The sequence below is a fragment of the Homo sapiens genome, chromosome 14, assembly GCF_000001405.40.
Source record: "Homo sapiens chromosome 14, GRCh38.p14 Primary Assembly".
In the NCBI taxonomy this organism is placed as follows: Eukaryota; Metazoa; Chordata; class Mammalia; order Primates; family Hominidae; genus Homo; species Homo sapiens.
The window spans coordinates 19,766,282-19,784,137 of NC_000014.9; the positions used below are offsets into that span (position 1 = coordinate 19,766,282).

A 17,856-nucleotide genomic window follows, 5' to 3' on the forward strand; every position below is an offset into this window, starting at 1 on the left:
CTTCTTTGGAAAAATATCTATTCAGATCCTTTGCCCATTTTATGAAATCATTTTTAAAATATCTTTTGCCCATTTACAAGCTTGTTTGTTTGCTATTTGGTAGTATAAGTTCTGTATATATTTTGGATATTAACTCCTTATTGGATGTATGGTATACAAATATTTTCTCCCTTTCTGTAGATTTCCCTTTCTACAAATAAAGATGAGACCAATGTCCAGGAACTTTCCCCATGTTTCCTCCTAGGAGTTTATGGGACCAGGTCTTATGTTAAGTCTATAATCCACTTTGAATTAACTTTTGTGATTGGAATAAGAGAAGCATGGATTCTTTGCATGTGGATATCCAATTTCCCAACATCATTTGTAGAAGAGTCTGTCCTTTACATTGTAAATTCTTGGTACCTTAGTTGAAAAAATTAGCTGACTGGATGTATGTGAGTTTAGTTCTGAGCTTTCTATTCTGTTCTATTTGTCTATATGTTTTTATGCCAGCAACATCTGTTTTGATTATTACAGTTTTGTAATGGAGTTGAAATCAGGAAGTTTAATACCTCTAGCTTTGTACTTATACTCAAGATTGCTTAAGATTTTCATGCTCTTTTGTGGTTGCATATGAATTTCAGAATTATTTTTTCCATTGCTGTGAAAAATGTTCATTGCCATTTTGATAGGGATTGCATTGAATCTACAGATCATTTTCAGTAGTATGGACTTTTTAACAATATTAATTCTTCCAGTTCATGAATATGGGATATGTTTCACTTATTTGTGTCTTCCACAATTTATTTCATTAATGTTTTACACTTTTCCATGTACAGGTATTCTACCTCTTTAGTTAAATTTATTTGTAAGTATTTTATTCTTTTTGATGTGCTCATAATGATAATTTTTCTTGACTTTTTCTTTCTATAGATCATTATTGGTGTAAAGAAATGCAACTGAATTTTTCTGTTGATTTTGTAGTCTGCAAAATTACTGAATTTGCTTATTAGTTCTAACAGTTTTTTAGTGGAGTCTTCGGGATTCTTTCTACATAGGATCATGCCATCTTCTAACAGAGACACTAACTTTTTTATTTGGATGCACTTTATTTCTTTTTCCTAATTACTTTGGTTATGACGCCCAGTACTATGTTGAATGGAAGTGGGGAGAGTGGTCTTGTTCTTGATCTTAGAGGGAAACATTTCAATTTCTCATCATTGAGTACAATGTTTATCATAGGCTTGTGATATACAGGCTTTATTGTGTTGAGGTACATTCCTATAATTAATTTGTTGAAAATTTTGTATTGTGAAAGAATGTTGAATTTTGTCAAATGATTTTTCTGCATTTGTTTAGATTATCTCATGGTTTTTATTTCTTATTCTGTTAATGTGGTGTAGCACATTTGTTGATTGTGTATGTTGGATAATTCTTACATCCCAGGAATAAATCCTACTTTGTCATGATGCAAAATCTTTTTAATGTCCTGGTATATTTGGTTTGCCAGTAGTTTGTTGAGGATTTTTGGACCTTTGTTCACAAGGGATATTGGCCTATAATCTATTTTTCTTGTTGGTGTCCTTATCTGGGTTTGGTATGAAGGCAATGTTGGCATTGTAAAATGAGTTTTAAAGTATCCCCTCCTCTTCAACTTTTTGGAAGGATTTTAGAAGGATAGGTGTTAGTTCTTTTCAAAATATTTGGTAGAATTCAACTATGAAGCCATCAGGTCCTAGGATTTTCTTTGATAGGAGATTTTATTATTGATTCAATCTCCTTACTCATTACTGTTAAGATTTTCTATCTCTTCATGATTCAGTCTTGCAGGCTGTATGTGTCTAGGAATTTATCCATTTATTCTAGGTTATCCAATCTTTTGACTTGTAATGGTTCATAGTATTATCTTATAATTCTTTATATTTTTGTAGCATCAGTTGTAATGTCTCCTTTTTCATTTTGGCTTTTATTTATTTAAGTCTTCTATTTTTTCTCAGTGTAGATCAAGTATTGTTGATTTTATTTATATTTCCAAAAATCAATCTTAGTTTCATGATCTTTTCTACTGTTTCTCTAGTCTCACTTTCATTGATTTCTTTTCTAATCTTTGTTATTTCCTTTTTTTCTAACTTTGGGCTTAGTTTGTTCTTTTTTTAGTTCATTGAGCTGTAATTTTAGGTTGTTAATTTGAGACCTTTCCTCTTTTTTTGTAAACATTTATTACTATACATTTCTCCCTTAAAACTACTTTTGCTGCATCCCATACCTTTTTGTATGTCATGTCCATTTTCATTTGTCTCAAGATATTTTTACATTTACCTTTTGATTTCTTTTTTTGGCCCATTGGTTGTTGTTTAATTTCCATATGTACATGAATTTTCCAGTTTTCCTGTTATTATTGATTTTAGTTTTACACCACTATGGTCAGAAAATATATCTGATATGATTTCAGTCTTCTGAAATTTGTTAAGACTTGTTTGTGGCTTAACATACAATCTGTCCAGGAGAATATTCTGTGTAAGCTTGAGAAGAATGTGTGTTCTGCTGTTGGATTGAATATTCTGTGTATGTCTATTAGATTCATTTAGTCTGAAGTAGTTCAAGACAATGTTTTCTTAATAATATTCTTTCTGGATGATTTATCCATTGTTGAAAATTGGATATTAAAGTTCTCTATTAATATTGCATTGCAGTCTATCTCTTGCTTTAGATTTGTTAATATTTGCTTTATATATTTAGGTGCTCTGATGTTGGGTGTATTCATATTTATAACTGTTCTATTATCTCAATGAATTGACTTTCTTATCAATATCTAATGACCTTCTTTGTCTCTTGTGACAGTATTTAAAGTCTATTTTGTCTGATACACATGTAACTGCTACTGCTCTTTTTTGATTTTCATTTTCATGGAATATTTTTGTTTTTTACCCCTTTACTTTTAGTCTGTGTGTGTTATTAAAGGTGAAGTGAGTTTCTTGTAGGCAGCATTAAGTTGGATTTTATTTTTATAAATCAATTCAGCCACTCTTTGTCTTTTGATTAACAAAATTTGCTTATTTATAGTTGGTAAGTAAAGATTTATTATTGTCAATTTATTAATTGTTTTCTGGTTGCTTTGTAGATCCTTTATCCCTTTATTACTCCTTTGTTGTTTTCCTTTGTGATTTGATCATTTTATTTGGTGGTATGCTTTGATTCTTTTCTGTTTATCTTTTGTGTATTTACTATAGATTTTTAATTTGTGGTTGCCATGAGGCTTACATAAATATTCTTATTGTTTAACCAATTCATTTAAAGACGATAACATCTTAACTTTGATTGCTAAAGAAGCTCTGTACTTTTACTTCCCTTCTCTTACATTGTGCTTTTGATGTTACAGTTTACATTTTTTGTATGTCTTAAGAATTTATTATAGCTATAGTCATTTTGCATACATTCATCTTATAACTTTATAATGATGGTGTGATTCACACCACCACCATTATAGTGTTTGAATATTCTAAATTTAACCATATATATACTTTACCAGTTAGTTTTACATTTTTGTATGTTTTAATGTTACTAATTAGCTGCCTTTTATTTAATCTTAAAAATCCCCCTTTAGCATTTCTTGTAAGGCAAGCAATAGTGAAGACTCACTCAACTTTTTTTGTTTTTCTAAAAAAGTCTTTATCTTCTTCATTTCTGAAGGACAGCTTTGCTGGCAAAATATTGCTGGTTGGCAGTTTTATTTTTCTTCCATCACTTTGAATATATTATTTCATTCTCTCCTGATCCTCAAGGTTCCTGCTGAGAAATCCACTGATAGCTTTATTTGGGTCCTTTTTTATATGACATGATTCTTTTCTCTTGCTGCTTACAAGCTTCTCTGTTTTTGATTTTTGCCAGGCTGATGTTAACGTATGTTTGTGGATTCTTTTTTTGGTTGAATTGACTGGAGAACTTTAGGCTTCGTGCATGTGGATGCTCATTTCTTTCCGGATATTTGCTAAGTTTCCCATGATTATTTCCTTAAATAAGCTTTCTATCTAATGCTCTCTCTATTTTTCTTCTGAACCTACGATAATTCTAATGTTAGCTCTCTTGATAGTATTCCATGGCTTCTGTAGGTTTTATTCTTTTTTTTCTTTTATCTCCACTTACTGGATGATTTAAAATGCTCGGTCTTTGAGTTCACTTATTTTTTTATTCTGCTTCATTTAGTCTGATGTTCAAGCCTCTATTACATTTTTTTTTAGTTTAGCTGTTGTATTTTTCAGCTCCAACATTTCTGTTTGGTTCTTTTTAAAATATTTTCTCTCTTTATTGAGCTTCTCATTTTGTTCTTGGATTGTCTTCCTGATTTCATTAAACTATTTATTTGTGTTCTCTTGTAGTTCCCCAAGATTCCTTATGTAATTATTTTGATTTTTTCCAGGCAATTTATAGATCTCCAATTCTTTGGGGTTGGTTACTAGAAATTAATTTTGTTCCTTTGGTGGTGTCATGTTTTCCTGCTTCTTTGTGATCTTTGGGTGTTGATTTTGTCAGTGACTAAACCTGCTGGAGTCCTCTGTGGAGTTAAGTACTATAGTTTGCGCAGTGATCATTGTGGGTTCCTTGGTAGTGAAAGCAGTGTGGTATGTGCAGCTGATAATGGCAGGAGACAGACAGATTCCTAGGCAGACAGGTATAAGTCCCTGGTGAATCCCAACCTTCAAGCCAAAGACAACATGAAGCCTGAAAACCAAGCCACCAGTTCCAGGTGCAGTCCACGACCCAACTGAGAACTTCCTCAGTGCCTTTTAGTCAATTAAATGGTGCTTTTTCCAGGCCTGCCCATGAACCAGTCAGCACACATTCCTCCATTCTGAGCCCATAAAAACCCCAGACTCAGCCTCACAGATGGCTCTCTGCTTTCAGTCCCACTCTTACACAGAGGGCTACCCACTTTGGCTACTCTCTTGTTGTCATGAGTTTTTCTGCCGCTCAGTAAAAATCTCATCAGCCTTGCTCACTCTGCGGTGTCTATATGCTTCATTCCTGTTGGTTGTGGGACAAGAATCCGGAATCCACTGAACAGTGGGTGCGAAAAGAGTTGTAAGACACGCTCCTGTTCACCAAGCTACAGGAGTGAAAAAAAAAATGCTGGGTGCCACACGTCCCCAGTTGCTGAGCTGTGGGCAGCAGGACTGAATGAGCTGTGACATACCCCCATTTGCTGAAGCTGTCGGCAGTGAGAACGAACAAGAGCTGTAACACTTCCTGGGGGCTCAGACCTTGACTCCCAGAGGAAAAGCTGTAACACCTCTTTGGGCTCCACAGTTGCTGGCATCTCTGAGTTTTTGGGCACTGCTGCATCCCCCTTATCCAGATGTCGGTGTTCAAGGCAGAAGTCAGTCATAGCATGCCCAAAGCAACCATGGGCTGAGCACTGAGCTACAGTGGGTGTCATGGGATCTGGGTGAGTGAGCATGAGTGGAGCACAGCCTGCCAGGCCAAATGAGCAGAACGAGTTCAGAGGGCCTCAGTGAAGCCTCAGCAGAGGCTCTGCTGGCCATCGAGATTTCCACTTGGCAAAGTGGCCCTCAAAGAATCCTGTGTCACATCCATGAGGGCTGTTGAGGTCCTTGGTATAGAAGGCTACTGGAATTCTGCTCAGATCAGGCTACTGGGGACTGCATTGATTTCTACCACATGACTGATACTGATAGACCTCATCATTTCTCTTTGTTACCAGCAGTTTACAGATTTCTCAGCTATGTTGGTCTCCCTAGCAATCTGGGATGGGTGAAACTTAAGCTGGTTGTTTGGGCAATGCTCCAGTAGGCTGGGTAAGAGAAAAGTTCCCCTTTCTCTGCAAGGGGAACTTGCAAGCTGAGCAGTGACCTCTCCATACTGAGCACTGCCAGCCTGAAGGAGATGAAGCAGGCAAAATGAAACTGTTTTTTCTACCATTTTTTGTTGTTATTCTTGAAGTTTTTCTGTCTGCTCTATTGTTTTAACTCCTTAAGTAGATTCCTGATCTCTGCTAGTTATTTTCATTTGTGGATATTTTCCCAATTGTTGTTCCTTGTAGGAGGAATAAAGACTGAGATGACCTACTCTGCCATTTTAGCTGATGTCTAACACATTTTCTTTGTTCATCTGTCTATGGACTTTTAAGCTGTTTCCGTATCTTGGCTTTTGTGTATATGCTGCAGTAAACATGGGTGTGAAGGTATCTCTTTGAGGTTCTGATTTCAATTCTTTTGGACATATTCCTAAAATTGGGATTGCTGAAACGTATAATAATTCTGTTTTTAATGTTTTGAGGAACTGACACATTATTTTTCATAGTGACTGCACCATTTTCTGTTTCCACCGACAGTGTATAGGAGTTTCAATTCCCTAAATTCTAGCCAACATTTCTTTTGTTTTTTGATAATAGCCATGCTAATAGGCATGAGGCAATATCTCATTGGTGTTTGGATATGCATTTCCTTGACAACTAGTGATGCTGAACATATTTGCTGTTGGCCATTTGTATATTTCCTTTAGAGAAATGTCTTCAAGTTTTTCACCCACTTTGAAATTGCATTATTATCATTATTATTTTTGCCATAGTATGACTGATTTTTAAGTGCTTCTTATATAATGGAGTTATTTAAATTTATTTTTTCTGTTTATTATTTGCCTGTTAAATTTGTCTTTATTTTCTAGTGATTTTAAATTGTTTTAATTTCTAACATTTTCCCTATATATGTGTTTGCCATTGATAAGTTTTAAATTTCATTATCAAATATGCTATAACTCTTTTTGTATTGTTTTTCCTTCATAGGGGCAGGATATACTTAAAAGTTTTTATTTATTCCAAAATAATTTAAATAGTCTCTCTATATTTCTAGTAATTAAAAAAATTACTCCTTTGCAATTTATGTTAAGTATAAGTTATAAAATATAATTCTTTTTAAAAATCTGGTTAACCAGTTGTTCCAGCACAACTTATTGTGTCCTCTGGGACAATAGAATTGAAAATGCACATTTTCCACCCCTAATCCTGGGAAATTCGCCATTTTTCTTACTTCTTCTGTGAAACTCAAAAGTTGTGTTTCTATGCTCTTTGGATGAAGTGCAAATCAACTTTTAAATTATCCCCTCAAGGCTTATGTTCCTACCTGGCTTCCCCTGGCCTCCAGAGGATTGATTTTTGTAGTTACAACCCATGCTGCTAGTTAGTTTACTGTTACATCAGGGCAGAAACTGATGGATACCAACATGTAGAGGATAAAGTCCTCCACTGTGGGTGGTGGAAGAGGCTTCTTCTACCTCCTCCCCATAGTTCCTGAAGGCACCAAGACTGTCACAGTAATTGGTAGGTGGAAAGTTGTTATAACCTTTACATAAACTATCCTATTTTTGAGACAGTAGGATAGATATAATGATGGGAATAACTATGTAAAATGCTCAGAGACCAGTGGTTAGAAACAGAAAGCAGCATGTAAGGAAATGTCTTAGGGAACTGTGATGATAGTGTAGAGCAGGTCATAGCTGTAGAGTGGGTGGACAAATTGTTTCTTCTCGGCCTTGATCTCAATAATTAAAGCATTTTAAAGTCAGGATTGAACAGGGCATTGAAGAGACAGCTTGGTCATTTTATACTCATAGGATGAATCATTTGTAAATAAGCTCAGAGAAGGCTGTTTTGATTTATGGGTCTTCAGAGCATGACAGATTGTTAAAATAAACTTCCAAAATTTTGAATCCCTTTACTCCTGAAAGAAAGTCAGGAAAACCCCAAGATCTTTAGTTACTTCTTCTTATAGTTCTTCAAGATGATCTCTGTGAAGAGGATGGGAAAGGTGAGGCTTGAAATATTTCATTTCAAAGGGATTAGTGTTAGTAGTAGTAAAAGCTTTGAAAATAAATAGAAAAGCAAAAAAGAAACTTAAAAGCAAAGAGACTCTTACTTGAAATAAATGTGGGTGAAATATGTATTTTAACAAAAAGGATTCCAAAAAGCAAAATTAGGAATTATGTAACAGGGTAGGGAAAGACTAAATGAATTAATAAAAACAATTAGATGTTGTGGTGTTTAATTTTTGTCAAAGTCTATTGATTTATTTATTCAATAAAAAATCCATGTAATCATCCCATCCATCCATCCATCTATCCATTTAACAAACACATATTGAAGACCATAGTATGCTAGGAACTACTTTAGGCAGTAGATATATAAATGAGACATACTCCATGACCTCAAGGAGCTCAGAGTTTCTGTTATATTTTGCAAAATACAAACTGAAAAATTACAATGTAATGAGTTAAAATTTGTACTGGAGGTGTAAACAGAGTACTATTATGGGAGCCATAGAAATGTGACATTTTTATGGAACTTATATATACAAAACTCATACAAAATTTCAGGCATTTTAGAAAACAAGCTTCTGAGAATAGATGAAGGATTTAAAAATAGGGATACATCAACAATGTAACAGGACTGTGGGTCTGGGAAAAATGTGGGGACCATTATATGCATTAATCACTACAATACCTATGAAGTAGGTACTGTTATTATTTCCATTGCACTGATGAGGCACATTGAGGCAGAGGTATGTGAGTTGCCCAGGATTACATAGCTAGTAAGTGTTCAGCTGTGGTTAGAATGAAGGCACTGAGAAATAAAATAAAAATGAAACCCTTAGCTCCCCAACCTACGGAATGGACCCTCTCTTGGCCAAGGGCACCCCAGAGTAACCTTAAAAGCTGAGTTTTCATCCATGACAAGATGGGCGGTCAGAGGTGCCTTCTTACATCCCCGCCCTCGCTTAACTGCCATTAGACTTTCCTACCTAAGTGCTAAATAGAAACCAGCTCTTTTGAAAGACTCCACTGCTGATATCAACCAACCACTGAAGCTGTCCCTCTTTTTTTGTGGTTTTAACACGGCAATTAACCAGCATTGCTTCCTGATAAGAGACCAACTATATGCTACTCATGAAGGGGCATGAAGCACAATTGTGCATGTGCACGGTTGTCCTTTCATAAATATTCATGACTCCTCCTATAGCTTATTGAGCATATGTATTTGGCCACCTCACTCAGTATATATTCCTTCTGACACTGTCTCGAAATATTTGTTTGTGGCTCCTGGCCAGAGGCTATATTTCCCAGCCTGTCATAATAGCCACCCTGCAGGCTGCAACTCTATGAGAAATAAAGGTCCTCCTTTCCAAATTTATGAACCTCATCATTCTTCAGTTGACAGCACTAACACCCCATATCTAAGTATATTAAAAGAGAAATAAGCAGCAAATATATATATAATATAATATATATTATAATATATAAATATGTAATATATGTAAATATATAATTATAATATATAAGTATATATAATTTATATTATATATAAAATATATTTTAATATACTTCAATATATTCAAGTAAATTAAAAGAATATATTAAATATATATTAGTTGTATATAAAATATTTTAATATACTTTAATAATATATTAATGTATATTACTATATATTAATTTTAATATACTTTAATAACATATTAAAGTATATTATTAAATATAATATAATAATAATAATAAAGTATATTAAAAGAGAAATAAGCAGCAAATGATCTTCAAGATAGTATAATATTGAGATCAGCCCTTCTCTGATCCTAATGGTTTCTTCTTGCCTAGTTTACTGTGGGCAACGATGCACACAGAAAATCAATGTAATAACTACATCATGATATTTTCTGCTACTGGTTTATTTATGACACTCGAGGTCCCTGGGTTTCCTATACCCGTCTATATGGTGAAGATGCTTCTGTATACTCCTTCCTCACCATCCCACAGAATAAGTGAGCTCAATATCCTAAAAATAGGAAAATTAATTCGCATTATTTCTAAGAAGTGTTGTATATATCCACAATGGTGATTACATCACTGTTTCTCCCTATTGCTACCCAAATCATTCTTAATTTACCTTTCTGAGAATTTTACTCTTCATAGGATTTTAGAGGTAGAACATTTCTTAAAACTCTAGTTAAAAATCCCTCCTTTTGCTATGAAGAAACTGTCATAGAGGAAGATTTCATGACCTCAACATCACGCAGATTCTTGTTTTCCCCCAAAGCATTGCTTCTCTTGAGGAGATTTCACAGTTCACTCACCTACAGAGAATGTACCTGTACTCCTGGGTATTTCCATAGTCACCCTCTAGGTACTACGTCCCTGTAGATTAAGAATGGGAATTTTCTAGATGTGGTTAAAAGAGAAGCAGAAGCTTAGGAGAAGTAGGTGGGTGGATGTAAGACGAAGTAAATCTTTTTAAGCAACTTATCCAACCACTGGTCTAAGAGTAAGCACTGATTTGGAATAGACATCCCCTCCTCAATGGCAACCTTAGAAAAAAATGCCCTAAGTCAATCTTCATGAGTGGCTTATCTCCCCCAAGAATTTCCCATAAACATAATTGCTTTGGGTTTTCTTGGCACAATTCCCAGCCTTTCTTGGGGTGTTACAGTGCATACCCAAGTATGTATAGTTTATTTAGCCCAATTTTATTAAGGTCGTGGTATGTGCTGGATGAACCTCATTTTAGACACAGAAGATAGGAAAACAATATTTTTAAATTGCCATTGTGGAGTTCAAATTCCAGCTGCCTTTGGTAGTATGACAATAACAACATATGATCCACTGATAAATCCTGCCAGTTGCATCTCCTAAATATTTTCTAAACAAATTATTCTTCTCTCCAAATAGTTATTGCTGTATTGTTTAAGCCATATATATATATATATATATATATATATATATATATATATATTGTTTGTTTGTTTTTCCTGTAATGTTGTCTTACTCCAGTTTATTCACATAGCAGCCAGGGTGATATTTCTAAATTGCAAATTGTATTAAGCTATTCTGTCGAGTTTTATTTTAAAACATATTGAAAGAAAATTGGAAATCCAATTTTATTATTGTGGGCTACATTACTTGGTCTTTGACTAACTCTTTATTTTGTTCTTATGCTTCTACTAGTTGTGGGTCTTCTACAGTTCTTAGAAAGTCTTTCATGACACAAGGCCTTTTCATTTACTATTCTGTATTCTTAAAATGCTTTTCTTCAAACTTTCAAAGTTAGAAAAATGTCACCAACTCAGAACCTTTTCTAAAATACTCCATCACACACATACCACACCCATCATCATTTACTCTACCATTGCCTTCTTTTTATTTCCTGCTTGTCTTTTAGAACCAGTAGCAATTATTTTATTTTACTTATTTATATTTTATTTTATTTTTATTTGCTTGTTTACTTATTTATTGTCTATATTTTCAGAATGGAAGTTTGATGAGGCAGATATTGATTCTTCCTTGTTCATTGTTGTGTCTCAGCAGGTAGCATATAGTAGATACTCTCTAAATGTTTGTGGGATAAACAAATGAATAGTTTATAGAAGTGACACAGAAGCTATATATTTAGGAATAGACTTTTTAATATCACAGGTAGATAGCTTTGTTTTGACATGCATTAAATGACAAGTGCTGGACAGAATAGGAATTGTTGCATCATTTATGGTATTTTAGGTAATGGTTATGTTAATGTAGGGAAACTAGGTGTTTGTTCTTCCTTGAGGAAGTGACATGGTGTAGTGGTATGTGTGTGTGTGTGTGTGTTATGAGTAGTGGCTGAGCATTACTAGCTTTGGGAGTAGGGAGTTTGATTGGCTGCCTGACTATTGGATTAAGATGCTCCAGCAAAATATTTCTTTTCCACTTGACACTTGTGAAGGGTGGAGGACAGAGACACTCATCAAGAAGTGTGGAGGGATGAATCCTTTGTATTTTTGTCCTAAGGAATAAATGTGATTGATTTTGGTTCTTAATGCAAAGTATATACATCATTAGTTTCTAATTTTATGTTGTATCTTGAACACTGAGGTACAAAAGAAAATCTCTTTGACACTTTTTTCTGGTAAAATCACCCTTTCTATTCCATAATACCTGATGTATGTTTGTCTTTTCAAGACATCAACACTCATTCACCTAAATTCTTTCTAGATTAGTGCCATTTTCTACTTCTGTTTTGGTGGAATGGGTATGGAGTAGAGCAGAGGAGGAAGGGGTGATTTGTGTGACGACACTCAGAATCATTGCATCATGTCCCCATAATAATAAAAAAAGCATATGATCTTGTAATGGTATTTACCGCTTTAAAATATTCACCTCCTTTCAATAATAAAGGGACAATTATTTACTTAGGAAAAAATAATCACTTCCATCTGGTCAAAAACTACATGGCATAATAGCAAAATATGTAAATGAGCTGAGTAAATCATAATATTTCAGATGCTTTTGGTAGAAATTTATTTGATTGTTGGAACCTCATAGTTGACTTATCAGTGAATGTAAATGAGTTAGTATATAACTAGCTCAAGCCCTCATAACTAATAACACAAGTATATATTTATAAGCTATACCTGTTGCGTTATTAGTTATGGGGGCTATGAGCTGCTTCCTTCAGGTAAGTACAGTAAGATCATTGTTTTTTGGAATCTTAGGAAATATGTCATTCTGGATAACCTTATTATCTTTCTTTTGATTAAATCTTCCTAAACCAAATTTTAAATTTTTCAATCTTATTAAATATGCTTAATTAACTCACTGAAGTCCATACTGGGCAATTTATGGACATGGGGAAATTGATCCCTTTTCTAAATAGTCCCACATTACTCAATTTCTGAGTATTTTTACCTTTCTTCCACTTGCTACCAGATTCCTGGAAAACACTGTTTTTGTGCGTGTGTGTGTCTGCTTGTAGTAAGCCATCCCTTCTTCAAAATACAATGCTTCTATAAGATACTGAAAGCCATTTATCTATGTTTGTTAAAATTATGTATAAATTGAGTCAGTAGGTTCCAAAAATGGCGCATTTAATTTCTTTTCTCAGTAGTATACATAGTGCCCATAAGTGTTTGGACACAGCCACATCTGTTTGGTTTTACAGAACCTTAACTTTTTAAAAATTCCTTTTAATATTTAATTTTTTAAGCAATAGGAGAGGCAATATCATAAAATATCACATCAACAGAAAAGAAACAACTCTCTTGTATTTGCTGTTGGTTACAACAAAACTTACCTTGGTGTGGCAGTTTTTAACCTTACTTAAAGAAAAGCATATTTGGTAACGTGAACTGTTATTTCATTTTTATTTGACAAGTTTTGTTCTACTTAGTGGTGTCAGGTTCAATACAGGGCAGTAAGCAAAATTTTAAAAATAATATTATTCCCATTGTCACCTTGAAACAGCAGAGCGGATCAGCTCAGAATCAAATTGGGTAGCAAGCATACTCATTTCCCAGATCACTACACCTACTTAAGTTCCTGCAATGGTGAGCAAATTTCATACTCAATGTAGTATCAGGTATTGATGAATCTGGTCACAGCTAGAAGAATTTTTTATATAGGGCCTTGCATAGCTGTATGTTGTGGCTGGTTACCTGTTACCAAGGATTAAGCTATACAGGTTTTGGTTACGCTTATGGAAAAATATGTCCATTCAGTACTTATGAAGCCTTGGGATCTCTTTTCTGTATCACAACTAAAATACTGCTAGATCTGTATGTGTGCTATTAGAATGCAAGCCTAAGTTTCCAGGTTGGCATGATTTTGCAACAAAAAATAAGATCTAGAAAAAAGAGGCCACATCTCTGATTGCCAGTCTAAAATTTGGCTACACTCAGAAGTAGCTTCACATATTGCTTACTAATGTAGATGTTTGGGGGAAGAAGTAGTGCATTGCCGAATTTCAGAAAAAGTAAGATTTTTAACATTAACAAGCCGAGATTTGAGTTTCAAATATATGCCACACTTCATATAGTTTTAGTGTTCCCAATTTATAAGTTCATCACATACTTTCTCTTTCTTGGTTTATCAAATATAAAATGGGCAACCAAATGTATCCTCATGTAATCTGTTAGTGACAGAAAACGTATGACAATTTTGAAAGCAGTGATATAACTCTAGATAAATGCTATGTGGACTAATTATAGTTTCTTTAATTTTCATAGTTATATTATGAAAAGAGTAAATTGAAGAAATGGAAACTGCAAATTACACCAAGGTGACAGAATTTGTTCTCACTGGCCTATCCCAGACTCGGGAGGTCCAACTAGTCCTATTTGTTATATTTCTATCCTTCTATTTGTTCATCCTACCAGGAAATATCCTTATCATTTGCACCATCAGGCTAGACCCTCATCTGACTTCTCCTATGTATTTCCTGTTGGCTAATCTGGCCCTCCTTGATATTTGGTACTCTTCCATTACAGCCCCTAAAATGCTCATAGACTTCTTTGTGGAGAGGAAGATAATTTCCTTTGGTGGATGCATTGCACAGCTCTTCTTCTTACACTTTGTTGGGGCTTCGGAGATGTTCTTGCTCACAGTGATGGCCTATGACCGCTATGCTGCTATCTGCCGACCCCTCCACTATGCTACCATCATGAATCGACGTCTCTGCTGTATCCTGGTGGCTCTCTCCTGGATGGGGGGCTTCATTCATTCTATAATACAGGTGGCTCTCATTGTTCGACTTCCTTTCTGTGGGCCCAATGAGTTAGACAGTTACTTCTGTGACATCACACAGGTTGTCCGGATTGCCTGTGCCAACACCTTCCCAGAGGAGTTAGTGATGATCTGTAGTAGTGGTCTGATCTCTGTGGTGTGTTTCATTGCTCTGTTAATGTCCTATGCCTTCCTTCTGGCCTTGCTCAAGAAACATTCAGGCTCAGGTGAGAATACCAACAGGGCCATGTCCACCTGCTATTCCCACATTACCATTGTGGTGCTAATGTTTGGGCCATCCATCTACATTTATGCTCGCCCATTTGACTCATTTTCCCTAGATAAAGTGGTGTCTGTGTTTCATACTGTAATATTCCCTTTACTTAATCCCATTATTTACACATTGAGAAACAAGGAAGTAAAGGCAGCCATGAGGAAGGTGGTCACCAAATATATTTTGTGTGAAGAGAAGTGAAAGATAAATTATACATTTTATAGTCCTCCTGAGGATCATTGTCCTAAAGCAGGAAGTATTTGCAGTAATAATGCTGCATTCACTTCCTCCGTTCATTTGTGTTCTTAAAATTTTACTATAATTTTTCTCTATTAATTCCTCTTTATATTGAAAAAATAGAGGCATTAAGATGAAAATAAATTTACTCACACCTACCCTGAAATTCCAGGCAGATCATTATTAGAATTTGAGATATAATAATAATCTGCTAAAGTACATTTTAACTAATTGTTTATTGAGTAACTACTCTGCAGAGGCTCTGGCTTTGAGGGGAACATGTTGATAAAAATAAATAAGACATGGAGACGTGTCCATTACAAATATGAAGTAAATGGCAAGCATATGGATGCAGCTAGCTTCAAGTTAGCAAATAAATATTGTCAAGTTTCAGTGTTGGCTCAGTGGAATGGTATCTGGTAAACATCTTGCTGGGTCTGGAAAAACAGATTATTTGTCCTTTATCTCCTCTTATTTCCAGAGTTGATGGAAAATGAGGATTCATTTATAGAAGGTATTTCAGTTTATATTTCAGGTGGTGTCCATTCAACAGTTGGAGACAGAACTCAAAATTTTATCACATTATGAAAACAAATTTTATGAATTCAAAGCAGAGTATAATTTGGCTGATACATGAGATTCATGTCATTCCAGATGAAGCCTCCAGGCAACTAGCAATTTTTATAGCCAGTCCCTACTTACATCCTTCAGAGTGAAAGCAGGCTTGGGGAGAAAGCTTCTAGGTTGACTGGAATTGGTAGACATCTAGCCGTGTAGTTTTTTTCTAAACTATCATCTCCTTTGCCACTTTTGTATGTTTTCCGTAATTGCTAATCCTGCCTCTCATGTTAAACTTAAATTGGTTAGGTGCTGTTTTTGTTAGCGCTTAATTCAGAGTTATTTCCCATTGAGAGACCTGGATGTGTTGGTTCCCATGATCCCTTAGAGAATTATTAGGGACTGATTTCCTATTTTCAAGCACTAAAAACTCACTCTCCAAGCTTCTGAATGTAAGAGGTAGATTAGAACATTTGATTTTATAGGTTATGTTTTTTACTTAAATTTATTAGTTTTTCATTTCAAAACTAGGAAATATTTTCATTGAAGGGCAAGAATGCATTGGGTGTATTAAGCTTTAGTCTTCTTTTTTAAATTTGATAATGTAATATGGACTAAATTTTAAGTGAATTAGATCCTTGTCAACATTAGGAATGAATATATAAAAATAAATCGTATAACTATTCCTAGAGTTACTATTTATTTACAGAGATTTATTTATTAATTGAGGAGGTAATTTATGCCAGACCCAGTGTACCTCGGATGCACAGGATGGAATGGTGGTACACAAAGCTTGTTTTTTGCTTTGGGAATTTTTCCTTATGGTGACCTTCTTCGATCTTCAATGCTACGTTACTTCTCTTCTAGGAACCCAAAGGCATGGATTGATGTTATGAGTCCTGATTTTTGAGTTGACTTCTCATCACCTGGAAGTGAATAAAGCAGTAGACTTCTCTAACATTTTGTAACACAGCATGAAAAAATATAAAGTACAAAAGATATATATATATAATATGATAAAATGATGAGTTATGTTTCTAAATCTTTTATCATCTTACTGTCATTTCTCTGTATTTGATCTAGCCAGACTTCTATTCATTTTGTCACTTATCTTTCATCAAACTAGGGCTGATGTTCTTTGGAAAGGGACCACTGATTTGATATGCTCTTCAAACACCAGCACACTGTACTACAGAAGGATATTTACTGAAAATACTGAAGCTAGTAATACAAAGGAAAAAGGCATAAAAACAGTAGTGTGATAACTAATTGCTTACTTGGGAATATTATCTGAAATTAGAAACTAATATCAATGAAGAAAAAGGGGAACTTTTGGCAAACTCTAGTAAGTAATAACTGAGCCTGATTCATGGAGGACATAATTGGAATAAGGACTGAGAGCAATTTCACCCCTTGGAGGACATTTGGAAGTGCCCAGAGACATTTGTGGTGGTCACAACTGAGGACGTATATTGGCATCTTGTACTATTTAGACATCTTACAATGCACAGGACAGCCCCCAGCCCCTGACTCCCACATGAATTATCTGGCCCAAAATGTCAATAGTGCCGAGAATGAAGAACTCCATCAGGTTGAGAAACTCTGACTTAAATAATGGGCAGGGATAAGGCAGGTTAGTGTAGAAGAAATAGGTGTTAACCTCATATGCAATGTTGTGTCATTGAATATTGTTTCCAAATAGCTCAGTATCCTCAGCAATCACATACAAAATATGCCTCAGGACTCCTTTTCCCTATATAACTCCTACATTTTCTTTCAGTTACTTTTAAATGTCTTTTAATCTCTTTTTTTCTTTCAGTCTCTCCTAGTCCTCCTTCTTTCAAAACTGCTGCTGAGCTACTATGTTTAAAATCAGCAATATCTCAATTGAGTAAATTATCTTTAGCTCAGTATTGTGATTATACTTTCAATTATACACTGACTTGTGTGAGACTTTAGAACCCAAGTCCCATTCATCTTCTGGCTTTTTGCTAATCTCAGTATTAACCAGAATTTTATTATTACATCTGGTTAAAAAAGAGCTTTATTGCTCAAACAAAATTAAAGTTTTTTTGTTTTTTTAATTACTAAAAGAATATATATTCATTGAAAGTTAAAAACATATGAATATATAAAGAACAAAACAAGTATCACTGGCAATCGCTTTTCTCAGGGATTTTCTTTAACAAGGTTTATAAAGTCTCACCCCTCCAGCTCCATTGGAAGCAGGCCAGTTGGCCTATCATGCATTGTTCCAAAATATAATTACCATTAAATAG

The 17,856-nt window shown here is 34.6% G+C and overlaps 1 protein-coding gene across 1 annotated transcript; it reads left to right on the plus strand.

Moving 5' to 3' along the window:
- The first annotated feature begins 7,222 nt into the window (after positions 1-7,222).
- On the plus strand, positions 7,223-17,415 carry OR4M1 (olfactory receptor family 4 subfamily M member 1). The gene is made up of 2 exons (NM_001005500.2): positions 7,223-7,312; positions 14,013-17,415. The coding sequence occupies exon 2, from the start codon at positions 14,042-14,044 to the stop codon at positions 14,981-14,983; it is 942 nt and encodes a 313-aa protein (NP_001005500.1). The 5' UTR covers positions 7,223-7,312; positions 14,013-14,041; the 3' UTR covers positions 14,984-17,415.
- The last annotated feature ends 441 nt before the right edge of the window (positions 17,416-17,856 follow it).